Genomic DNA, 27,960 nt, shown 5'->3' with positions numbered 1-27,960 from the left:
GGTTGCAGTGTGTGTATATACACAACATCAAGAGCAGGAAAATGGACTCATTAGGGAGGCAGGCAGTCATTACCACTCACACTGTACTTCCAGGGAGACACCGATTATAAGAAGAGAAACTCAGCGCTGGGGAAGAAGGTAGGGCAGACAACTTTCTTAAAAAAAAAAAAATCCTGCTTCCTCAATGCCCCCTCTGTCATCTCCTTTAGCCCCCAATGCCTTTATTCTTTCCTGCTTGAATTTTAATTTCCAGATTTAAGTTTGACAGAGCTAGTGCTAGCTTAAAATTTAGAACATCTGTAGGAGGCCTACCCTTTACTAATTTTCTTCCTACTTACTTAGGGGTGTGCCCTTGTGATTCAGTTTTGTTACTTTAAAAATAATTACAAACAAATCTATTTTTCTCACTAAAGTACCAAATAAATCAGAATCTTTCACTCTTTTAAAACAGACCCTTCCGTATGTTTGTCTCTTTGCTTTTCTTGTCTGTTTATGCAATTCCATCTGTCTGTCTATATATCATGTTGTCCTTATTTATTGCTAACTCGGTTTTGTTAGTTATTTGCCAATGAGTTTTAGCTGCAGTGCCAGTGTGGGTATTACTAAAGTGAGACTCTTGTTCTTTGTTTTATGTTGAAGTTTAAAGTCCATATTTACAGTTTAAATCCTTGAAGCAGGTTGAATACTTTTTGCCAGCATGTTTATTTAATGCCATTGGACATAAGGTGAGGGGTAGTTGCTGAGGGTGGGTAAGAATGGAGTAATTATTTTTGTCATCACACACATAGAAACATTGCATCTGGGGGATGTATTTTTAAACAAATAAGGTATTCTGTTTTCTAACTTTTATTTTGCAGATGGGCTTTTACATTTATAGGAATATCACTTTGGTTAGTAAGAATGCGAACTTTCTTAACAAGCAGTTTTTATCCTAGGACAGTTTCCTTTTAGTATGTTACTGTTTATTTATGCTTGGGGAGGGTGGAGTGAGGGGCTGGCCATCTTTTTACAAAGTGGAAGCTATGAAGTGTATCAGGCCATCTTGCACAACAACTGTAAGTATTCATTTAACATTTTGGGGAGCATAAATAATATAATTTTTATTTCAAATTCAGTTTTGTGGTGCTTTCTTTTCCTTTATTTCTTTTTTTCTTTTTTATAGTGGGAAAAGTTACATTTCAAACTAGCAGACATTGTTGAAGAGTTTTCCCAGAATAGTGTTCTTCAAAATTGAAAGGATTATTTTAATAAGGGCCATTTGAAATGGACTTCTTAATGGAATTTTATTTCAGATTTGTCAAAGTAAAACTGCTCTTCATTTGATAAAATTTAAGTCACATAGATACACAAATGTTTCGGCATATACAGAGCAATGTTAGAAAATGGATGCTGATCTGTAGAGATCTTTGATAATAACAGTCATCTTTTTGTAATAAATTATTTATTTAACAGAAGTGGCAGACTTTTTTCCCCCTTAATTCCATTAGGCTTCTCTGACAACACAAAGAAGTCCATAAAGCAATATTCTTAACCCACCTGGGACACTAGAGCAGATTCCCAAACACATTCTCAAGGTTCAAACCTAGTAAAATGTTTATTAAAAATCCATTATTTCAGGAAGGTGATGAACTTTTGCTGCTGAAAGACTTTTTTACCTCTTCTTTTAAAAAATTAATTCTGAGACTTTCAATTTGCTTATCTTGCCTGAACAGTTTTTTTAAACTGGATAGGCTGGCTTTGACCAAGAGTAGTACAAATACTAAGTACGCTCAATCAGGTCCCGTCGGAGATTTTTTTCCGTAAGGTCTAAGGGGAACTTTAGGAGAGTATTTTATGTTAATATGGTACACGATAATTTTGTTTTTCATATACAATTTTATATATACTTTATGCCATTTCTGACGGTGACCCAAAAATTTGTTTCAAAACTGATACTGTATGTCAAAAGTGTACATGTCTCATGCACCTGTCATTTTCTGTGTTAGCCTTGTGAGGACCATCTAAAATTCTACTGTTTTTATCAATAGAAATCTTTCATCTATGTCTTGATTAGTCATTCTCTTTTTCTGTACACACATACAGTGGCGATATCTGTGCATACATGTGCATGTATGACACGAAGTCATACATGTATGGATAAATACATCACAGCTTCTTTTCAGATACAATATTTTTAAAAATTTCACTTTATGTGTGTTTATGTTAACCACAAGCAAACAAAAAATGGAGAGAATTTCAAGAGAAAAATGAAAATTTCCTTTAACCTTTTAGCAAGAATAAAAGCAAGTAATAATGTAGCCATTTTTATGTTTGGTTTAATTTTTAGAATGTGTATATGTTTTCTTTTGCATTATAATTCTTAACCTTCAGTAGATCTAAAATATTTTTAGTATGAAAAATAATCTTGGCCTTTTCTGGGAGGGACTGTCACAATCTAAATACAGAAGGACATTATAAAATGTGCATAAATAAACTTCAAACCACTGTACTCTGCTGTATAGGGATTTGGAAAGCTGAAAGGCTTGCGTTACAGGAGCGCTATAGAATGCCAGAAAAATTCATTAATCAGCCTTATTGGTTATAGTGGGCTCTTCCTATCAGCACATGATATCTGCCTGTTTAGATCCCCAAAGTCTTGGTCAGGTCACAGTGTGTTTCATTTTAATGTTGGAGCAGACAGTTACCTAACACACCCACATGAGGAAGTGCTCTAAGAAGTTACTTCATGCTTTGCCATGCCCTGTAGCTAAAACAATTTGGTACTGAGTGACGTGTGTGTGCTTTTTAACGTGTGTGTGCTGATAAAAATCAGCTTTGGCTCTTTGAAAAGGACCAAACAGTAGATTTTTTTTAAAAAAAATAGGGCACTTTGGGAGGCCGAGGCGGGCAGATCACGAGGTCGGGAGATCGAGACTATCCTGGCCAACATGGTGAAACCCCATCTCTACTAAAAAAAAAATACAAAAACTACCTGGGCGTGGTGGTGCATGCCTGTAGTCCCAGCTACTCGGGAGGCTGAGGCAGGAGAATCCCTTGAACCCGGGAGGTGGAGGTTGTAGTGAGCCGAGATCGTGCCACTGCACTGCAGCCTGGTGACAGAGCGAGACTACGTCTCAAAACAAATAAATAAATAAAATCAAATAAAATGGAATGCCAGACCATATAATTCAAATGCTAAGCATATGCCAGTTTAAACTTTTTCTTCTTTTTTAACTTAAGAGGAGAATCACTATGATTATTTTTAATATAAAGACTATATAGTGATTTATTGGATTTTACTCATTAGGGTTTCAAAAATTGCAGATACTTTTTATTCTGCACATTTTTATCTCCAGAAGCCTATATTCATCAAAAGGATAGCAGCTGCATACTTTCCCCATGAAATGTTAACAAATAAATGGCATTCCTGTTTATTTATCTATTTTTGAATTTTAATGATTAGTCCTTGTGCTAATTAACAAATTCTCGTATTCATAAAATCTGGCACTACATAAATATCTAATTGTGTGATTATCTACACATGTTCTGGCTTTCTATAAATATAGAAATTATCAGTGGATGTGTTCATGGACTTGCCCAACTCTAAGCAGTGGCCGGTCATGCCGCCACATAGGAAGCCAAATTCAGGCCCTGAGCAAACGTGTTACCCCAACATCTGGCAAGGTATGTTGAAGCAGCAGCACCTGGCTAATATTGCTAACTAGTGATCTTTTCTGGCAAAAGAATGACTGGTGTTGATATTCTTTGAATGCTGCTAGCTCCTGGGTTCTTCAGCCTCAAGGGTGGCCTCTGAAGTCTAAATGTTGAAAATGGACATTAAAGCTGGTTTATCTTGGAGGTCACTTTATAAATATATTTTAACAAACTACATTTTTGGTGGGAGACATGTTTTACTGTAAAACATAAGTAAAATAGTATCCTTATCCCTCACTTTCTTAACCAGTGAAGATCTAAGTTACCATGAGAAGTCACAAAGCACTGAAAAGAACCTCTAAATATTTTCATTTGCATGGCTGTGTAACTATTTCAGGGACATTATAGAAATCAGGTATTACCTACATAGAAACAGTTTACCCTCCATCAAGGACAATAAACACTAGCAATCGGACAGGTGTGTACCTGCCAGAGTTATCATTAAATTAGAAACCAAATCTTTAAAATAATTTGTTTCATACTGTGTAAGACATTTTTGTTATTTTATACAATTACTATGGATTATTTACAGTGCTAATACAGTCAGCATTTACATTTGATACTTTACACCAAGCTTTCAAGTCATGTATAGGTGTGTAGGTATTTTACAAAACTTGAAACTTGTAATTTTCTTGAAAAACCCATTTCATACATTTCCATTGCTTAAATAAATTCTAGCATTTTGCATAATCTCCAGGAACTATAGCTAATGTCAAATAAACTAGCAAGATCAATTTTATTCTTTACCAAAAGCCTGAAGGCAATATACATATCTTAGATATTCTAGAGAATACCTGAATTCATGTTTTCCTATTACATAGATATTATACATTAATCATCAAATAATGTTGATGACAATTATGTTTAATATATCAAAATATCCTTGAGCTCCCCTAGTTCTAATTCAGCATAGGCAAGCTGATGAGGCTATGGGAAGAAATATGCTATCTATGATTACTATCATGTATGTAGTAACCACTACAGCCGGTGTTAGAAACAGCATTCAAGGGCTTATAAGAAAAAGGGCTTTTTTTTGTTTTGTTTTTTGTTTTTGCCACTCTAGCTGTTCAACTGTAATAATGAATAAGTGGCATGCTATTTCTGTACTAAACTGTGGAAAAATTATGCTTGACTTTGGCTTCATAACCTCTCTTATACTCCAGGATCAAGCCTTTTGGTAATTCTATAGTTCATTTGAAAGTAATCAGCTTGAGGACATGGAGCTTGCCTTTCTGGAATCTTTTGACACTCAGCTGAAACTCTAGCCTTGGTGTTTTGTAGTTCAGTTAACCAATGCAACCTTTGTAATTGTCTTAACTTGGGGAAAGCTGGCTACTGACTTTCAAGTGAGAATACTGAGACAAGGAACAAGGACTATGAGTTCATTGATTCATCTAGTTTCCAGAGGGAAGAAGAACATATTTTTTATTAATTCTGAATATTCAGTCTTACCTTTGAAACTCTGATAGAAAATGTGGTAATTACAGCATAATATGTTTACCTTCTTGATATTGGAAGTAATTTTGTCACTGAATACTTCTGTGTCTTGAGATATGATGAATTTAATGTTCATATTATGCATTTAAAAGGTCAATCTATTTGAAAGTTTTTATATTACATTACTAATGTAAGGATTTACATTCAACAAATATAAAATTATGGTATGAGGTTGGGGTTATGGGATATCAAAAAGATAGATGCCCAATTGGTTGTAACTAAAAATGTAGAAATGGTAATAATTACGAATCTTATACATAGTAGTACTATTTTTGTTATTGGGAAAATTCTTAATTTAAACTTTTTAAAATGAAACATTTAAAATTATTTAAATTTTAATTTTCTCTAATTTTTAGAAGGCTTTACATTTTTGTTTTTTACTGAATTAGCTTAGATATTTGCCATTTTTACCTTTTCAAAAATTTTCTGTGAATTACTGTTGTAATTAAATTGTGATTTGTTGTTGCAATTCCTTTTATAGTATGAACTTCTTTCCTGTAAATGGAATGTAATTGAGAGAAAATTAATGTTGTCAGTTTGTTCAGGTAGCAACTTAAAACTTAGTTAAAAAAAAAAAAAAGCTATTACTAGCAGAAAACTAGAAATGTTCCAGGCTATGTAATTTTTCTAGTTGATATATATGTGTATGTGAAAACTATGTGGCTTCATTTTAAATAAACAAAAATATCTTATTTAGGCACCAAGACATTTAAACAGTGAGAAAATGTTCCTCTCTTTTATTATTTAAATAGACTAGGCAAATACTTTGTAATGGTGACTTTATAAATTTTTTGTTTTTTTTTCTTCTTAAATACTGGACACATTAAAATTCTTCTTGGCCCAATAAATATACTCTGGTTCTGACCATATTTACTAATTTCTCCACTTCTTGGTTACTTGTACCTATTACCTTAGCTTTAGGTAAGGCAAAAATAACTTACTTTTTATATTAGCCCTTACTTTCTCTAGTTCTCCAAATCAACAGTGATCTTTATCCCCTCACCTCATTTCTAGAAGGGAGACGACTAGAGATGATTAAGAAACAAGTAGAGAGAAGTTGAGATAATGTGAAGGGATAAAGCTGAGGGTACAGGGGTAAAGCTGAGGGTAGCTGAGGGGTTGGTGCTTTTGAAGCTTCTAAACTTAGAAGTATAATGAAATAAAAAGACTTCTTCCCTAACTCCCGTTAAAAAGCATTTGACTTATCTGTACAGCATTAGTTTTTGCATCTCTCTAAAGCAGATCTATATAAATTCCCTCTGCACTCCAAGACAGATTCCAGTGGTACCACCAAAGAAGATCATAGAAGAAAAAGTCAAAACATCTCACATTTCTAGAACATCCACTGCCAGGTTTCCTTCATACCTTTTGCCCTTTAATTCTTGGGTTCGGAGTTGTGAGCAGATTTTTATAGTTGGTGGACAGATTTCATTTGTTTTGATAAGAAGCTTTACCAACAACACATTCCCAAAACATGCCCCCAAACAGCATCACATGCTGAATTAAAATAGATGAAGTGATTAGCTGGATAAGTGTGCGTGTGTTTCCTTTTTAAAAACAAAGTCAAATAATTTGTATGAAACAAAACAAAAAGAACTTTTCTAGCAGTCTGAATGAATTCAGGTTGTTTCACATAATGGCTTTCTGAAACCATTTTTTGTATAGTAATTTTGACCAACACATCCACCTATTCCCTACCCCACTTGCTTTTTCGCTTTCTAAATGTTGGATGAATGTAATTCCTTAATATAAAAATAATTGTGTTCTTATAACACATTCAAAATATACCTATGGATATGAAGATGTGGTACGGCCTATACACAGTAGTTTCACTTATATCACCTTAGTCTGAAAATATATGAATAAAAAACATTTTTAGAAATTATTTTTCTGGTATGTTGAAAGAAACTTTATGGTGTGATACAAAAAGCATTTCCTGGGGAATCAGGAGGTATTAATCAATATCAAAAAGGATTTAAAGTGGTTAAATCTGGAGGTCTGGTTTTTTGTTCTGACTTTGTGACTTTGAGTACATCATGATCTCTCTGTCCCTCAGTTTCCTTCCTGTAAAATGAGGAGAAAGCTTTTTAAAATATTTTTTCATCTTAAAGACTGTGATTTTAAGTAGCTATATATGTAGATAATCTTGCTTGCATTTTCTATCTAAAAGTCACAAATAAATGGAGAAAAGTTAGGGTGGGTAATAAAGGAAGAATAACGGACATTTATGTGGCTTGAGAGAGCACAGGCACTTTAATTTTGTGATGATTTTTCTTAGCTTAACTACATATCATAATGTATTATTGAGTCTGTTTAATGATTGAACGAATGCCATAAACCAAAAATAGTCATTTGTCAGACAAACTGACTTAATTGCCTATGGGTGATTTGGTAAAAGGGCTGTTTTTAATGGAATGAAGTGCAGCATGGTTACTATGGCTCCACTCCTCTCCACTGGCCACTAGATGGAGAGGCGATCCGTGTCCACTGCCTTGCCAATAGCAAGCAGTTCACTTCTGACTTCCTAATGGCAAAGCTGCACTCTATGCCTTTGGACATTTCTATGAATACACACATGACATTTTGGAGAAGTCATCAGAGAATATGTCCTATTTCTATATAGGCATGATATAATATTCATGAAATGCAAAATACTCCTCTTTAGGCCAGTGTTAATGTTGGTAGACCCAGTCGGCCAGTATTACAACTGTGGTGTTAGTTGTCACAATAGGGTCTATTCTGTCTCTTACAAATTTGTCCATTTAGAAAGGACCCTGAAATGAATGTCAGCACGACAGTGCCACCTTGTGTCCCTGTTGCTGTGCAAGTAACTGATGCATGAGTTAGTGAAAAAAACAAACAACAACAAAAAAACAGGACATTTGCAAAAAATTGGCAAATTGTTTCAGGCCCTGATTTCGTAGTAGCTGTACCAAAATTCTATAATATGTTTTAGTCTTTGAAATTTCTTATTACCCAAGAAAAAGTTAGGATGTGTGCACTTTACTACTTTTCTCCTATCAGGGTATATAAAAAATTCTTTAACAATTCTAGGCATAAACAGGGAAGTATTTAATTTAGAATTGGAAATGGAGAAGACAGGGATTGTCAGAGATACTCACTTAAGCTCGGTCATTTCAGGCATTGAGGTGCTCCTTCTTTCACATTCCCACAGCAATTTTATATGCATAACTTGGCAATATCACCTCTCACATTGTATTGCCATTGTTTGTAAGCACATCTTCCAACTAAACCTTGAGCTTCTTGAGGATAGTGTCTGTGTCTTATTCATCCTCCAGAACCTTCTATTGGCATTCAGCACAGAGCTATGCAAATATTTGAGGTCTAAACAAATGATTATGTCTAGCTGGTTTATAACATTCTCGTGTATATATATATATATATGTATGTATTATATATATGTGTGTGTTATATATATATATATAAAATACACATTTCTTTGTTGTAAATAAGTTTGGAGCCTTTTTACTTTGGAAAAACAGCTTCTGATACCACTTCCTGCCTAAACATCCCTTTATAAATTACCTTCTTCCTTTTATCTTAAAATGACCATTTTCTCTTTTTGATTATGAAAACAAGGCATTGCCTATTCACAAGTGTGTATTGTAATTGACTTTGATGTAAAGATAATTTTTAATTCTAGCTTTACAACAAATTTGCTATTATTTGGGGTAACATACTTAAGTTTTTTTAGGTCTACTTCCTATGTATAAAATGAGTGGACTGGACTAGTTGATTTGACAGGATTTTTGTAGGGATTGGGCAAATGTTAGTATTATTCTAGCTGTATATTTAGTTGTACTTTTTAAAGTACCATCATAGTTGAAAATGAAATTGCTAGCCTTTGAAAGTGCTATTTGATATTTCATGTTTTAGAAGAGGAAACTGAGGCAAAGGGGCTTATAGGGGAATGAATTGCAAGTAGGCAGAGTAAATAGTATTATAATGGATGAATATTCCATTTTTTTATTTGTTTTTCACTTTTTTGTTCATTTGTTTTTGGTTAATTGAGCTCCACTCTCCTTCTATTCTTTAACCATATAATAAATAAAGTACAATGAACTTATATAGTAAGATGAACCCACAGGTTGGTAGAGGACTATGGACTACTTGCAGTTCAGAGACTCTCATGCTATTTTGAGTTTGATTCATAGCACTTAAAAATGAATCCTAAGTTTTAAATTTCACACAGTTTTGCATGAAATTTACATCTAGAGGTTTCAGTCCACGTATTACCATAAATACCAGCAAACTTATGACTGGGCAAATTGCACAAACTTTTTAAGAGTTTTCTTATTGGCAGAAATGTGATAATATATATTACCTTTCCTATCTACCTCACAAGGTTATTGTAAGGATTAATTAAGTTAATATATATGAAGTTTTTTTATAAATAGTAAAGTAGTATACAAATATTATTTATTGGCATTACTGCTCTAATTAAAGAAGGAATGGATAATAAAAAACTAAGTCAAAGCAAAACACACAAATTTAAGAAACAGTGAAACGCATGGTGTTTCCTAGGTGATATACTTTTCTGTGCTGGTGGACCCTCTGTAGATGACTTAAAATGTTATCTCTATTTCCCATTTTGATTTTGAAACCTGTAATAATAATGATAATACTTACCCTAAAACTAATATTTTCTTTAGATAAAATTTTTACCCATCATTCATAAATTTTGACAGTAATGTTTATTTAAAAATAGAGGGAAAAAAGTTTAAATAACCAAATATGAAAAAAATTCTTTTCAATATTATCTTACTATATTCTAGTCCAGTGGTTCTCAAACTTTAGTTTACATAAGATATTCTTCGGATTTTTGTTAAAATTCAAATTTCTGAGCTCCATTATTAATGGGTATGGAATGGAACTCAGGCATCCTGAGTTGTAGCTGGCCCACATACTTCAGAAAACTCGACTTTAGTTGATTATTATATGTCGGAATCAGCCAAGGGCTTTTAAAATACACAGATTCCTAGGTTCTACTCCCACATATCTAAAATTGGAGTCTCTAGACTGGTATTTGGGCTTCCATATTTTGCAAAAACTACACCAAAGATCCTAGTAATATTGCAAGGTTTGAGAATCATTACTCTTGTTTCTAGGGTATATTGTTAAAATATATTTACTGTCACACCTGAATTTATCCTCATCTCTCACATTATTCCTTAACTAAACATAATCTTACTTTATGTAGGAGGCCAGAGTTGATACTGCTATATAAGAAAAGTTTAGGCTTGAAAACCGATTAGAACTCTTGTCCTATAATGCTAAAATTAAGGAAGCGAGATATTGCTAAGCACCTTTCACACAAACTGTTTAATTTAATCTTTGCATACAACAACTTTGTTGCATACACTGGTTTTCTGCCTATGTTTTAGATGAAAAAACTGAAGCTTACAGAAAAAATTGCCAAATTCACACAGCTGCTAAGAGTCAAAGCCAAGATTTAGTCTCTGTTCTTTCTATTACATCCTATTATATTTTTTCCTCATTCAGTAAATCTTTACCAGGTTCCCATTGTGTTAAATGATAATGTCTAACTTTTGGCACCACATTAGCCCCTGACATGCTATCATAATTGTTGCTTAGACCATGTAAATTGAGTTTTGAAAAAATTTTTCTATTGCAAAATGGTTTTTAGCTGGATGTAGAATTCATGGGTTCTCAATGGTCAGAAGGGGTCTAAATTGTAGTGATAATTATAGTTAATGAATTGTTAAGGAACTTCGCCTATGGGATCTCTTAACCACCATGCCTTTGCTATGAAGTATTTCTTAACCCTATTTAAAGATGAGGAAAGAAAGATTTAGAATGGTTAAGTGGTTTACCGAAGATTGCAGATCTAGTAAGTGGCAGAACTGGGATTGAATTCTGGTTCACTCTAATTTTCACAGCAAAGTTAACCAGTAGTATATACAATTTCTGACTCTGCTTTGCAGTTATTCAGAATCAGGCTGTTCCTCCATTTGTTGAGCCACTAAATGCTAATTAAACTTTGTGGGATTTAAGTTTGTTTCCTTTGTAGGGAACAAACCAGTTTGCCACACTTAATCAGTCCAGTAATTTCTTAAATCTTGTAAAGTTTGGAATTGATAATGCATAATCCTCTAGGGAAATCAGTTGAAGTGAATAATCTTTTGTTTATATTTATATTTGAGAGTTAAAACTCTTGGATGGGACAGATTATTTGAAGGAAAATTCCAATTTTACCTATTATGACACGCTGTGAAACACAACAATTTCATGGCATATCCATTGTTATTGGTCTTAAAATATTTGGTTTGCATTTAAATTTCAATGAAAGTGTTAACAGCATCAATGCCTCAGTGCTTCATAACATCTAAAAACTGACTCTTGAGCATTCCTGATGTTCTTGTCTGAAAAAAACAATGCCTCATAGTATAAAATGACAGCACATGTATGCAAACTTGTACAATTTCTCACTTATCCTGTATGGATAGCTAAAAATGTAATTTTTATATTTTTTAAATATTTAATAATATGCAAATTATTGATATGCAGTAAAATGCAGTAAGGGCAGTCACAATTTAAAAGAGCTCTAAAATATATCCTTTAGTTGTGAAAATAATCATGATTTTGTAAATTTAGATATGTGTACACTTTTGGGATATTCTTAACACCTCTCTATGTATTAAAAGGTTCATTTTTTTTAAAGGAAGACCCACAAAATCTCTAACCAGGGTTATGGTCTTGTCTTTAGCAGACTTACAAGTTTATTGGAAATTTGGGGTTATATTTCAATTTTCTTCTCTAAGAGTGGTCTTTTCTCAAATGGCATTCTTTTAGAATACTGTCAGAGAAGAGAGAAGAATGAAAACCCAAAGTGAAGAACTTTACCTATACTCCTTTTTCAGATGTAGAAATTAAAACATGATTTTGTAGAACGTCCCCTTTAGCAGCAGAGCATGAATTGGAAAATTTGGTCAGTGATTTATTTAGGCTCCACAGGAAAAATCCTGTAGGGCATTTTTTGAATATCCTAAATTTATTTTGATTTGAGACCAGCTTACAGGGCATGTCTATCTTAAAACAGTTCTCCATTTTCCTGAGAAAAATTCCAGTGGAGCTAGTTGTGGGAGGTGGTATCCCAACAATGAACCATTTGGGGCCAAATAAGCACTTTAACACAACTTACTCCATCCCTTTCCTTAAACCAAAGTCTGTCTTGCCCACTGGGCATGTTTAACTTTGACTGCTAATTTTATTTCCCTGCAGAGGCAAAGGAGGCAGGAAAAAGGAGGGAAAATAACTGATGGCATGTGGGTGAGGTTTTGTCCAGGAAATAATTTTTAAAAGATCCTAGCCAGTATAGGGATGCAGGAAGCAGTTGGTGCCTGAAACTATATTACCCTTGCATCACAGATTAAGAAGTAGGAGCCAGTTGAAGTTAAATAACTTGCCTACAGTTACACAGCAGTTTTCAGTGTTGGGGTTGGTACTGGGAACTAGGTTATTCATTGCTCCAGTGAGGAAATTGGACAATCCAGCTTTTTTGCTGATAAAGATGCTCTCCTAATATCCCTACTCACGTTTTCTTTCCTTCTTTTCTTTGGCTACTGTCTTTTAACATCTAAAAAAGTATTCTGCTGATAATCTCAGGTGTAGAGGCTAGTTATTAAATATATTTAGACTTTTAAAACCATTAGAATTAGCTGAGCTGTAAGGACAGTGTCCACCACGTGAAGCCTTTTTTTCTCTATTTTATTTGGATCATGTAAGTAATGAAGATATAACTGGAAAAAGGAAATGTCATTGAATAAATAGTTCTGAGCTCATGGCAGAGTTCTAAACGTGAAAAATGTAATGGACACCTATTTAAAGACAGGCCATTTTTATTTTTACCTCCTAATTACAGTTAATCTGAGGTATTTGAAATGAACATAAGCTAAATTTTGATACCTTTTCCTCCTAAATTGATATCATTAGATGGATTTAAGTTGGAAAGGAGGACCATGGTAGAAATACGAATCAGAATTTTAGACTTCCATAAAGTTTATAACTGTCCCAGTTAGCCTCTGTGCTTGAACCCCAGGGGAAAGTTGCTATTTGGCCCTAGTATCACCCTAAGTTGTGAATATGTTTTGGATCAACTTCTCACTGATATGATAAATATTTGACTTAAAAATTAGTGAAAACTTTTTAATGTGGTATCTGTTGAATATTACCATTTACCCCTTAGTGTCCTTAGTAAGGTTCTAGATACCAAACAATTTCTACTAGAGTGTGAGTTTTACTCGGTTACCAGAGCTGACTAACTGAATATGCAACAGAACTTAGAAGTGATGCCATCACATCAGACATAGTACAAACACAGACTAGTGCACTACAGATCCTCTAAATTTTGATTTGGAAATATATGAATTATTCAGAGATCCAAAACCCCAGAGAAAATCAGGTAGAGGACCTTCATATAAACACACCCATAGCCTGTATTCCATTCTAAGAATTGCAGTTTGAACCAATAGAAGCCCGAAGCAGCTACACACATTTGATTTACAACTGTGTCCTGTCTACTTGCAAATAGCAGCTAGTTTCCTTGTAGGGTTGGCTGACAAGGCTGTTGTTTTTTTTATATATTATTAAGAGTCAATAGCAGCAGCACATGCAGGCTAATTGTTAGAATATAAAGCTTTGTTGGAGGTGGAACATAGGGTTCTAGTAATACTCTTAAATTCACACCAATTGACACAAAATAAATACGGTTCTCTAAGAAATATAGAAGGCTTAAACTAGAAATGACTGAAAAATACCATTTTCACAAGCATTTAGCTATTTCCACCTCCAAAAAAGTAGTTTTTACTTTATCTATATCTTCATAAGCCTTTAAGGTGAAAGATGAATGACAGCAACAAAATGACAGTGACCTAAAAGCATAAAATTGTAGTTAGTTTAGGTAATCCCGGGGACAAATATAATCCAGGGTATTTATTAGTGAGATAAAAGGGGAAAGAAATGCTGTGCTTTCATCATACTGCAAATAAAATGCTTAATTAAAATGCCCTACCAAAGTAAACAACTTATTTCTAAGAAATTACTGCTGAAGAAATTAAGACTAAAAAATAGAGAAAGAAATACAACGCCCGTTTTTGTACATTTTTCTTATATTTAGGTGCTTTTAAAAATTGTTTTTATGAACTCCTAAATTTGAGTGCAAGGGAGATGGGATTACATTAATTGCCATTTAAATACTCAGCTTCATGTTTGTAGGCATCTTTCTGAACCAGAACAAAAAGACCATAAAAAAATTTCTAGTGTGGAAATCATATTTCATGTGGTGAAATAGAAACTCAAGAAATTTCCTGATATAATAAGCTTGAGAGTGATTACCAAAGAAACAAAAGTTTCTTATCACTCGGCCTGAGGCAAATGTGGCATATTAAGCTTAAAATGAATTCTCTTTTCCTGAATGCACACAACTCTTATTAATGTCTTGGAAATTATGCCCAAATAAGATTTTCTGGATACATTTGAAAAAGCATCCACTGGGGTTTAAGGACTATTTTATGTCTATGGACATTTTAGTGTTTAGCCACAAATTAGTTTTTGCTCTTTTACCTCTTTCTTAGGTTTAACTTTAGATGAAATGACTTGTTTTTATCTTAAAAGAGGCCTTTCCTTTAGTGAGAGTTAGGTTCCCTGGTGGCCTGAAAGAGTTAATGCAGTTTCCAAGAGTGTCCAACTTACTTCCAGGGAGTAGTGTGTGCATGTGAGAGAGTCTGGCTCCAGGATATTTGTTCACATCCCAAAACCAATTTGGCACAACTTAAAATGTCTGCTAGGCAGAGGATTCAGTGTTGTTAGGCCACGCAATTAGTGCTTTATTTCATGAGCACCAAATTCACCCAATAGTGTTTTGATTTAAGGAAGAGCTTGAAATTCACAATAACGGGTTTCATTTATCAGAGCCATATGGGACTCAACATCTTTGGATATATTTGTAAGGCTTTCACAAAGAAGACTTTTTAGACATCTCAGATTTCACCGATTGGAGGGCAATCTGGATGAATATCTTTTTTTGGAAAAGATGAACTATCGTTTTCACATGTAGTCTCCAATTTCAGTATTCCTTGAGAAGCTCAAAACAACAACAACAACAACAACAAAACAAAACAGGAAAGCGTTAAGTAAGTCTCAGCTTATTAGCTTTTACTGGAAAATAAAGACCATGATTCTTAGATCTGGTTCAGAATGCCAAGTGAATCTTTGATGTTGAAATTTGGCCACCTAATCTTTGCAGTTTGTGATGGGGCATTTATGAAAGAGAAGGTGGGTTCTAAGTCTCAACATATTTGTGCACTTTTTGCTAGTTCGGTCTTGGTCATATGTCAGTGGATTCTTGGGACGCTTTCTGCAGCATAGCTAACTGATTAACATGATGATACTTTTTATATTTACTCAAGATTATTTCTTTGTTCACTCCTGATTTTCCATAATTTTCTGATCATTAGGGATCTATCTTAATGCAAAGTATTCTTGAAGATGTTAATATAAATTAATCTTTTAAAAAAACAAATCTCATATTTTTCCACTGATCTGTTAATTTAGATATTAAAAAAACAGATTGACCTTCATTTGGCAATTGTTGTTAATACTTTAATTTTTGGTTCACAGATTTTGTTTAGTGGGCTATAAATGGCCTATAAACAAATATTTCAGTGTTTACTAATTAAAAATCAGTATTTTTTTTAAGCATAGAGTGCTATTGTGTTATGAGACAGGCAACCACTAATTCTGTTAGGTTTTCAACTTTTTATTTTCTTAGTTCTCTAGTCTTTTTTTTTTTTTTTTTGGCACTCTTCATGCAGTATGGTAAGCCTGGTTAAGTCAGAATATTTACAAGTAGTAAATATTACTGTGACAGTTGCTACTTACCTATACAAAGTCTATGTAAACATCGTAAGGATGATAATTTTAATTTGTAAATTGTTATGGTAAACTGGAAATTACTTGAAATAACTCTTGCTCATCTTTAAATACCATTTTATTGCATCTAACATTATTTTACTATCCTTTATTAAAAAAACTTTTAACACTTTATTAGCTAATAGTGCTTATATTAGCAAGTTTTAGTTTTCACAGACAATATCCACTAAACTTTGTTCAGTTATGAGCATGTTGAATAATACTAAATTAAAACAAAATACAGTATATTCTTGGTTACCATTTACATTTTATATTAATACCAATGTCATATATTTTAATGCTATTTCAAAAATATTTAGAAACCCTCTCTCTGCTCCCTACCATTTCTTCTCCAATATATATCCTACTCTACAGAGAGAGCACTTAGGAATTTGTTATGTAGCCCATCTCTATCATGCACACCTATATTGCTATGGGTCATTGACCCCTATGCTATAGGCCAATGAGCCTGCTGGACAATAGGTAGAAAATTGGAATTATAGCATGAGCTATAATTATAGCTTAACTGCTTAAATCAACTTAACATGAATTGTGCTGAATGGCTGAATATATTCTTTCTATATTTATTTTGTAGTCAAATGTTCTAAAATAACTTTCTATAAAAAGTATAATACTCTTAGGTTTAAGTTTTATTATTCACCTTTGTTTACAAACATAGGTATTGTAATCCAATGAGGGTAAGTGTTTTCATCACTGAAAATTTCATTATGGAATACAGACTTTTTTGGTATTTTCTTTGTGAAACAGTATAGTTTGATGGCAACAAGGAAATTAAAGATGGCAGAAAGACTATATAGATATAGTGGTATCTAATAAGACTTTGGATTTATAAACTCTAGGCTGTGAGGAGAAGATGGGCACATGGATTGAAAAAGAAAATGTGGATGCGATGATCAATGGTTATTCTTTAATAATATTCCTAATGAAGGACATATGATGAGGCAAAGAAGAATACAAATTGATGGAGTATATGTATGAATGATAAAATAGTTGTATGCTGAGAGAAGGAGATTGTGAAGCAAAGAGATAAGAGTTATATGTAGCTTTGTGGCTATAATTGCCTTGGTTTTTGCATTTACCTTGAGTTTCCATTGTAGGTATTAATGGCTCCTGTATATAATGTTCTTAGTATAAGTAGAATCCATAAAGCATTTGGTTTGAGCAGGAATATTTATTTGCTTGTGAGGATAGACCTGTTTGACTTTGAAATGTAGTGTGCTATTACCTTATGGTCAGAGTAAAGTTTATATTGTTTTTATTCAAATTACAATATGAGTATATTTAAGAGGAGCAGATATGTGTGTGTTTGTGCATGTGTGTGCATGTACACACATGTAAGGAAGGACATTTTCATTTCTGTATATTTCTCCTGTGTTTGCTGCTTTTTGCTTGCCAGTTTTTCTTTGTCTCTATCATTTTATCACTGAAACCATCTGTGTAGAAAATAGTATGCTTGGTTTTATCATTTTAAATTGTTTTCTATTTTTGTTATTTTGTCCTCCCAACTTGTTTTCACCTTAAGTATTCAGGCTCAAGTATAAGGCATTTTAGTTTTCACATTCAAGAGGTGTTTCTGCTTTCTTTCCCGTCCGTTTGTCCATATGTTTACTGGTTTCTGATAGGCTGTGCAGTGAGACAGCAGTTTACTATCTGTGTGTGTGTGAAATTAGCTAATTGGTGTTAGCAGAAATATTTTCACATGTTTTATAAGCAAAGTGCAGCAAGGTATATAAATGTAGATATGATCCAGACACGCGCACACTCACGACTGTCACTGCTCATGCATAGGCGCTCAGAAGTAATTAATGTTAATAAGATTTTAATGTGCTTGTGAGATCATAATGAGGAGAAATGAATGCTCTGATTAGGAAAAGGTAACTGTGTGTGTGTTTTGGCTTAGAACAAGATTTCAATTTTTATAAACCGCAATTTTAGAACTTGTTTGTGATTGCATCAATTGGTTTTTATTTTCAAATTAGAGGTCTGTTTAGCCATTTGAATGATTAACCAAATAAATGGGTGAAACCCTGATCATAAGGAATAGTGCAGGTTTTTCATTTGCAAGGCAGTGTTAGTATACAGCAAGGCTGTGATGTCTTTTGCCAATGTGCCATTTTAATGTTGTTTTTTTAAAAGAAGCTTTTCCAGAAGCCACTTGTGAATATAGTATTTATTTTTATAAATGTAGATGCTATCTATACGTTCCAGAGACACCAATCAGACACTGTAACTATTGTGTCTGAGATACATTCCTGCCAGTCAGTGATGGTGTATTCCGTGTCTAAAGAATCTATATCATGCTTCTCAAAATGTTTATTTGGAAATGTAGCACTACCAATATTTTTATTCATAAATATAATCTTTACAAATTTTAGAAGCTTGATATATTTTATGGTGAAGTCAAACATTTCAAGGTAAGTAAAGATCTGTCTGATAATAGATTTGAAGGCAATGCAGTCAACAGCTATATTATAGACTGGCTTAAATCCAGCTGGACACCAGGGGTCCTTCTCCACAACAAATTTTCTGAAAATATTGTTTACAGAGCTTTGACATACATTTGCATTATTATTATTTTTTAATTATAGTATAAATCTAAATATCTATTAAGGGCCCTTGCCCTCTAGCACATAGAAATTACTTATGCATTTTTAAATATAAATTGTGGATTGAGATATTCAAGGATTGTAATCCTTCTTAAAAAGTAAGCAGCATCGTACTGAAATGCAAGGAAAAGTCTTAGATATGAACTGGATATAGGATAGTGTAGTTTATTTCCAACCAAACCCTACAGATGTGTGTTTTAGGCTCTTTTAGGTTTTGGTTATATTACTGTGATCTTTCTGCTGGGGTTTAAAAATGATGATGAAGGAAGAGAAACTGTTAAAGTTTGTTCTACTCAACAATTTTGAGATTTATGTGATTCCCAGGGTTGTTTTAGATATTGCTTTACATAGAATCCAGAGAATGATGATTATTTGATAAAAAGAGGTATTTGCCTTTAATACCCAGTTGTTTAGTTGACTTTCTTGGATATTATCACATTGAAGCATAATTAGAAACAGTTTTCCCAGTGCCAGTTTGTAAGGGAATTCATCAATGTTTCTTCTAGTACTTGCATGATATCCTATAGTAAGTTTTTCTATACAGTCAGATGTATTTCTATATTCTTCTATTCTGTGCCATTGACCTGTCTATGCATGTGATATTATCACATTATTTTAATTATAGAAGCTTTATAACTTGTTTTTATATCTGAAATGTTAGCTTCCCTCCCTGCTTCTACCATTACTCTTTTTCAGTGTTTTCTGGCTTTTCTTGCATACTTGTTATTCCAAGTGAACTTTATAATCAACTAGCAGATCTTGAGGAAAAAGAAAATCCCTGATGGCATTTCTATTGAAATTATAAGGAATTTATGAATTAACATCACAACAATTAATGTTCTTATGAGGGTGAATCTTTTTATCCAAGAATCTGTTTTTTATTTCCATTTGCTCAGTAACTGTTGTATCTTGCTGAAATGTTCTAATTTTCCTTTTGGCTTTAGGTTTAAACATTTATTATTAAGTCTGCCTTTTGGTATTGCATCCACTTATTTATTTACTTGCTTACTTTCTTACAGCCTTACTATACTAAACAGGCTCTTTTCTTCTATATTTTCTAGCTGGCATTTGTTTCTGTGTAGGAAGGCTGTTGATTTTTGTATGTTAACTTTATAGTCTCCTATTTTGCAAAATTTTCTTATTGTTTGTGGTAGCCCAAGGTGGATTTGAGTTCCCCTTCTAGTACAATGTTTGATCTTTGTAAGACCATGGACAGCTTATTCTGAGTGTCTTAGTCAATTTGGGCTGCTGTAACCTCACAGTTCTGGAGGCTGGAAGTCCAAGATCAGAGTGCCAGCACGGTTGAGTTCTGGTGAAGACCTTCTTCTGGGCTGCAGACTGCTAACTCTTCATTGTGTTTCTGGTAGAAAGAGATCAAGCTAGCTCTTGGGGGTCTCTTTTATAAGAGTACTAATCCCATAAACCTCATGACTTTATCTAATCCCAGTTACCTCTCAAAAGCCCCATCTGCTAGTGGCATTACATTGGGGGTATAGTTTCAACATATAAATTTGGGCATGAACATTCAGTTTGTAACACTGAGCTATTTTCCTCATCTGTAAAATGCAGATAAGAAAGCCAAACTAGAATGATGGAGAATAAATAAGATCATATCGTAAACACCTAATATTTTCCCCAGCACATTGTAGGCACTCTATTTCTAGTATCCATTAATAATGTAATGTAATGTAATGCAATATGTCACTTGAGCAATTATTTTTAAAGTATGGATAATATGCAATTGAATTATTGAAGGTTTAGCATATCAGGGTTTTTACGAAGAATGGAGTGAATTAAATTAATGAACAGAACTTAAACTTCTTGATAAACATTTGTGATTTAAGACTCTAGGGGCAGGGCGCAGTGGCTCACACTTGTAATCCCTGCACTTTGGGAGGCCAAGGTGGGTGGATCACTTGAGGTCAGGAGTTCGAGACCAGCCTGGACTGGACAACATGGTGAAACCCCATCTCTACCAATAATACAAAAATTACCTGGGTGTGGTGGCAGGCAACTGCAATTCCAGCTACTCAGGAGGCTGAGGCAGGAGAATCGCTTGAACCCAGGAGGCGGAGGATGCAGTGAGCTGAGATTGCACCACTGCACTCCAGCCTGGGTGACAGAGGGAGACTCTGTCTCTAAATAAATAAATAAATAAATAAATAAGAAAGACTTGAGGAACTGAAGATTAATTCTGAGATTATGATATTTTGTAGCTATGCGCACATATTTCCATTACTTCTGTTTTAATTATGATTATTGCATGTAATACTCATTAGCCCTGGAGAGTAAGTGGAAACTTCTTGAACATCTAGAGTGATTATTCAAGGCAATTCATACAGTGTGTTGATTCTAGCACTTGTTATTGTGCCCTACCTCAAGAATCTGACAACTTTACCATATTTTCTTAGTGAACAGTGTACTAACTTGTAAATAAGTTTATGTGGAATAAATATTAAACATATGTGAACTCATGATGGTATCAGTATAAACAGAATAATAGTGATTGTCAGCCCTTTATATAACTTTTTTTATAAAGTTGGTGAAAACGCTAATTGAAAAAAATGTAGTTCATGTATTATAGCAGTCCAATAACTTTTAAGCTTCAACTCTAATAAAATGGTTATTCACTTTACATTCTTTTAATTCACTTGATACAATCTATTGTTAAAGAAAAGGAATATCAAAATTTCAGGGTTCAACTTTTTTTTACCTCATGGTTGTTGTGAGGACCAGGTGAGATGATTAACATAAAAGACCTAATAAGGTGCCGAGCTCTTGATAGGTGTTTGAGAAAATGTTAGTTGTTTTCATTTCTATTATCTTGTTATTACCATTGCTGGTTTCTTCATTCCCAACTACCTCAACCCCCATATCATCTACCCCACTCTCTCTCTCACTCTTCATATATATATATATATATATATATATACACACACACACACACACATATTCTTACTGATAATGTTGTTCTATACTTAGACTAAAATGTATGAAATATGTGCCATAATGGTCATTAAGAATAGACATAAAATAATCGTCTGTAATTTTCCAATATTGAAGTTAGCTAAGAGTGAAGATCCTATGAGTGAAACATGTGAAAACTTTAGTTACTTGTGGATAAAATTTCTGAGGAGTTGTGAGGATGAAGAATAATTTCTCATAAAGAATTTTAGGCACACTTTATATATAGTTTATGGTTTACCAGAGTTCTGGCTTAGCACTCAGTGTGATTATTCCTCCATAGCTTCATATTGCTCTTTTATTCATTCATTCATATCAAAAACAACATAGAATATCTATTAGCAATAACACGTTGTTCTAGATAGTGTGAGATATACAAATAACAAGATTAGTTATATGAATTGTCTCTATATTTAAGAAGTCTATTAGGTGATTCAGATAGGGAAGCAATGAGGTTATGTGCATGGACTTTGGAGCCAGATTTTCTGTTTTGAATTCCTGCTCTGAAACTCACTAGTTATTTCACTTCAGGCAAGTTATTTAGCCTGGGTTTCAGTTTCCTTATCTACAAATTGAGGCTAAAAGTAGTACCTATTGGGTTGTCCTGAGGATTAAATGATTTGGTACAAGTGCATCATTTAGAGAAATACCGTGGTAAGCTCTTTTCAAGATACTAATTTTAGTTTCTTTTGATAAATACCTAAAAGTGAGAATTCTGAATTGTATAACAGTTCTATTTTTAATTTTTTGAGGAAACTTCAGACTATCTTCCATAGTGCTTCACCATTTTGCATTCCTACCAACAGTGTACAAGGATTCAAATTTCTCTACATCCTCATCAACACTTGTCTTTTGTTTTATTAATAACAGCCCTGACAGGTGTGAGGCAATTCCTCATTGTGGTTGTAATTTGAATTACTCTGATGATGATAAGTGATGTTAAATATTTTTAAATATATCTCTTGGCCATTTGTATGTCTACTTTAAATAAATCTTTATTCAAGTGTCTCTTAGTCTGGGCTGCTCTAAGGAAATACAGGGTAATTTATGAACAACAGAAATTTATTACTCGTAGTTCTGGAGGCTGGAAAGTCCAAGGTCAAGGCACTGGCAGTTTTTGTATCTGGTAAGGGCCTCTTCTTCATAGATGGTGGCCTCTGTGCCCACACATTGTGGAAGGGCAAACAGCTCATCATCTCTTTTTAAAATTACTAGTCCCATTCATGAGTGATCTGCCTTCATGATTTAATCACCTCCTAAAAGCCCTGCTTCTTAATACTATCACATTGCAATTAAGTTTCAACGTATGAATTTGGGGGAGGGGTAATATTCAGACCTTAGCAAATTCCTTAGTGCATTATTAAAAGTTGGATTATTAGTTTTTTTTTTCTTTTTGCTCTTAAATTATAGGAGTTCTTCATGTATTTTGGATATTAACCCCTTATCAGATATATCAGGGAATTCACCCCTGCTCGCCACGCCCCAGGCTGCAGACCAGTAATGGTCCCTGGCCTGTTAGGAACTGGACTGCCCAGCAGGAGGTGAGTGTCCGGCCAGTGAGCATTACCGCCTGAGCTCTGCATCCAGTCAGATCAGCAGTGGCATGAGATTCTCATGGGAGTGTGAACCCTATTGCGAACTGTGCATGCAAGGGATCTAGATTGTGGACTTCTTATAAGGCTCTAACTAATGCTTGAGGATCTGAGAGGGAACAGTTTCATCCCAAAACCATCCTCCTGTCCTTGGATAAATTGTCTTCCACAAAACCAGTTCCTGGTGCCAGAAAGGTTGGGAATCACTGAGATATAAGGTTTGTAGATATTTTCTTCTATTCCATAGGTTGCCTTTTCACTATGTTGTTTGCTGTGCAGTCAAGATGTATAGTCTTACCTGTTTATTTTTATTTTTGTTGCCTGTACTTTTGATGTTACAGCCATGAAATTATTACTATGATGAATGTTATGAAGCTTTTCCTGTATGTTTTATTCTAAAAGTTTTAGTTTCAGGTCTTACATTTAAGTCTTTAATCGATGTTGAGTTTATTTTTGTGTATGTTGTAAGATAAAGGTCCAATTTTATTATTTTGCTGTTTTTCCCAGAACCATTTGTTGACGAGACTATCCTTTTCTCATTGTGTATTCTTGACACCCTTGTAAAAAATTAGTTGACCATTTATGTGTAGATTTATTTCTTGGCTCTATATTTTGTTTCATTTGTCTATATATCTATCTTTATGCCAGAACCATATTGTTTTGATTATTTTTGTTTTGTAATATATTTTGAAGCAATAAAATGTGATGCCTCAATCTTTGTTTTTCTTTCTCAAGATCGATTTGGCTATTCATGGTATTTGTGGTTCCATGTGAATTACAGAAATGTAGAATTGACTCTATAGATCACTTTGGGTATGGACATTTTAACAATATTAAAGTCTTCCAATCCATGAACACAGGATATCTTCCATCTTGAATTTCTTTCATCAATGTTTTGTAGTTTTCAGTATATAATCTTTAATCTCCTTAATTGTCTTCCTATTTTATACTTCTTGGTGCTATTTTAGATGGGAATGTTTTTCCAATTTTTTTTCAGATGGTTCCTTGTTAATATATAGAAATGCAGCTGATTTTGTCTGTTGATTTTGTGTCCTACAACTCTATTGAATTCATTTATTAATTCTAACAGTTTTTTAATGGAGTCTTTAGGATTTTCTGTATATAAAAGCATAGACTCTACCAACTAGACAATTTTACTTTTTCCTTTACAATTTGAATGGCTTTTGTTTCTTTTTCTTTCCTAATTGCCCTGGGTAAGACTTCCAGTACTATGTAGAATAGAAGTGCCGAGAGTGAACATCCTTGCTGTGTTGCTGATTTTAGAGGAATAGCTTTCAGTTTTTTCCATTGAAAACTGATATGTAGCCTTTTCATATATGTGCTTATCATGTTGATGTACTTTACTTCTGTTGGTACTTTGTTGTTTATCTAAAGGAATTGAAATCGGGATCTCAAAAAGATTAGCAATGACCAAGATGTGGAAACAACCTAAATGTCCTTCTATGGATGAATGGATAAGGAAAATGGTATATATACACAGTGGAATATTATTCAGTCTTTAAAAAAGAGGAAATACTGCAATGAGACAACATGGCTAAAACTTGAGGACACTGTGCTAATTGAAATGAGCCAGTCATAGAAAGACAGATACTACATGATTCCACTTATATGAAGTATCTAAAATAATTAAATTCATAGAATCAAGGAATAGAATGATGGTGGTTGCCAAGGGCTGAAGGAAAGGGAAAATGGGAAGTTACTAATTAATGGACATAAAGTTTCAGTTAAGCAGATGAATAAGTTCTAGAGATCTTCTGTATAGCATTGTACCTGTAGTCAACAATACTGCACACTTAAAAATATTGTACTATTAAGATTTGCTAAGAGGGTAGATCTCATTTTAAGTGTTCTTACTAACATAAAATAATGTAGTAAGGCTTCAATAAATGTTAATTCACATTAAAATTATTATTAAATATAGCAGGAAAGTTAATGTTATATAACCGTAAACACAAAGTAATACAGTATTTAGAGGATGGTAATATCTTTACTGTGACTGGGAACAGTTGGGATCGGGGAGATTCACTGAATGCATTAGTATTTAAATTTTGAAGTATGATTTCTATAGTGTAAAAGAAAAAATAAAAAGGTAGAGGTGAGTAAAAATTAAAACTTCTGGGGACTTTGCAGTCAGAAAGGTTCCTATCAGAGGCCCAGCTCCACTCCTCACTATTAGTGTGACCCTAGATAAAACAATCTCTGTTAGGATTCTACCTCCCTGAGTCATGGTCTGATAACTCTCTCAAGACAGCATACTACAGCAATAGCAGGAATAACCTTGTTAATTTCCTTTTCTCAGCAATTGCTGTGCTGTGCCTGTTGTGCAATGTCTGCAAGCAAATATTTTATATATTTTGTTTAGATTTTTAGTTGTTTAAGGCAGGAGGTGTATGCTATTTCTGTTACTTCATCATTTTCAGAAGCAGAAAACCAACATATTTCTATTTTACTTTTCAATGAGTTGGGACTTACTGTCTAATTCTAGTAGCACAGTGTAGTTAGTTACCTTTTTTGTACTAACTAAATGGCAGTACAAGTTTTAGTTTACTTACCTGCTTCCTTACTAAACTGGCTTCTTTGAGAACAGGTACTGTGTTGAGCTCATCTTTGTCACCACTACCAACCCACTATCAAGTTTGGAGTCTGGAACCTATCAGGCAGTTAATGAATACCTTTTACATTTATTTAATTACTGTTAATTGTAGTTCTGTGCCACACTGTGAAAGACTGAATGCTATGCTTAGAGATACATTTTATTCTGTAAACAATCTAAGGTTTTTGAGGAGGTGAGGGAAATTCTTTGAGCCTTTCTTTTTAATAGAAGGTAATTCTTGAAGCATAAATATGGATGAAAGAGGTAAGAGGCTGAAAATAATTAGATTATTTAGGATTCTAGGCTATAATAGTGGAAATAAAGAATTGACAGGATCTAGTGATTGATTGGATGGGCATTGCTGAAAGGAAAGGTGAGAAAAATGACTTAGATTTTCACTAATTATGGACCAATTGTTTTAGAATGAAATAGTAGGGATTTTTTTGGTCTTCAGAACTTATGTGGAAGATTTTAGCATAAAATTTTGGGAGCAAAGTTTCATAATGCAAAGTAGTAATTAATGGTAGGGATTTATTTAGTTTACTAGAATTAAGTTTGAATTTAAAATATTTTATAATTCTTAGGGAAAGGTTTATTTTGAGTTAAATTTTATTGTATACGGTTAATTTTTAATTATATTATAAATATCTCCTTATATACAATTTTTTCTCATTATAATCTCTTATCTTTGTTTATAGTTATAAATATTTTTAATTTCCCTATGCTTTCTTTAGTCTTTAGAATTCTTTGGTAATGAACTTAGAGCTAAAAGTTAATTTTGTGCCATTGAATGGTACAGCACTTGTAGCATGACCTAGGGTGAGAGTCATTTTTTCTCAAATATATTTTAACGTTGCTTTTGTAGTATGAGTTTTCATTCAAATTATTTTCTCTTTTTGAGAGAGGTTGGAAGAGCTTCTGAGCAAGTGGATGGTAGGAGTCGGGAATAAGAAATATCAGAACAATTAGGGAAACCCTCCAATGCCAAAGATTTATCTGTAAAACATCGTATATTAGTAGCCATTTGAAAAGTTAAAACACTTTTAACAAGAACTTATTTACAGTAGTTTGAAGTAGATTATTTAGAACAAACAAGTTGAATACATGGAAAAGAAATATTTCTCCCAATTAGTTATTTTCACTTTGACATAATCTTTTGAGGAAGCAATGCTTTTCTTAAACTGTGTTCTAACCTGAAATAAATGACAGAATGTTTGAATCAATGACAGCATCCTGACAGGATAGGGGAATATTTTTGATACTGTGTTCCAGTTCTCATTTCAGTTTCTTACATGAACTATTTGTTACTCCTGTTATAGAAAATGACACTGATAATGACTGACATTTATTGAATCACCCCTTGTGCTTATAACTAAACTGTGAGGTAAATATTATCTTATTATTCTTCACAACAATCTCATAAGACAGATATTATTTTCATTTGACCAATGAGGAATCTAAGGCTAAATGAGATTAAATAACTTCCACAAAGTCACGCATCTGGTTATGCAGAGTTCATATGAGTCATTGATGTAATTGGTAGAAATGATTGCCAAGTCTATTGTGTGTACTGTTAAGGGCAATGAAAAGAGCCTTTCACGTTTATCCTGTAAACAGAGGAAGGTGAGCTTTTTGGAACAGTAGTGGAGAAGGGCCAGAGAGGGAGAGCCAGTGTTCTTTTTAGATTGCTATGAATGAGTGAACTTAATCAGAAAAGGCCGATGCCCCAGTGCAGCATTGTCTTTCAAAACTTTAGGTGCTGCTTTTGACCCTCTTTAAACATGGATATCCAAGGCAGCTTAAGAGTTGGATTATGCGTTGCTGTGACCAACTGAGGGGCCAAGAGCAATGGCAGCTGTATGGCAGGTTCTTATGACTCTTAATTCTATTTGGAGCACTTCCTGTGGGCAAACTCTTACCTGACACAGCTATTCGAGATCCTTAGAACCCATGAGACCTGATGCCATGCAATGAGTATTCCGTCAGTTACATCACTGAGACCTCAAAGTCTGTGATCTTAACC

General features: G+C 33.7%; 1 protein-coding gene across 7 annotated transcripts in view; it reads left to right on the top strand.

The window, feature by feature from the left end:
- The window catches only part of ZBTB20 (zinc finger and BTB domain containing 20), an 832,789-nt gene that overhangs the window by 46,976 nt on the left and 757,853 nt on the right, over positions 1–27,960 (top strand). For 2 of the 7 annotated variants that reach the window (NM_001348804.3, NM_001348805.3), the window contains exon 1: positions 5–138. The exons of the other annotated variants lie outside the window; for them this stretch is intronic. The gene's annotated coding sequence lies outside the window, so the exon portion shown is untranslated. Of the gene's footprint in view, positions 1–4; positions 139–27,960 lie in introns of those variants that run through there. 7 annotated transcript variants of the gene reach the window in all.

The sequence above is a fragment of the Homo sapiens genome, chromosome 3 (assembly GCF_000001405.40).
Source record: "Homo sapiens chromosome 3, GRCh38.p14 Primary Assembly".
NCBI lineage: Eukaryota > Metazoa > Chordata > Mammalia > Primates > Hominidae > Homo > Homo sapiens.
Note: the sequence above shows the minus strand (reverse complement) of the source record. Positions and strands in the feature narration are given on the sequence as shown.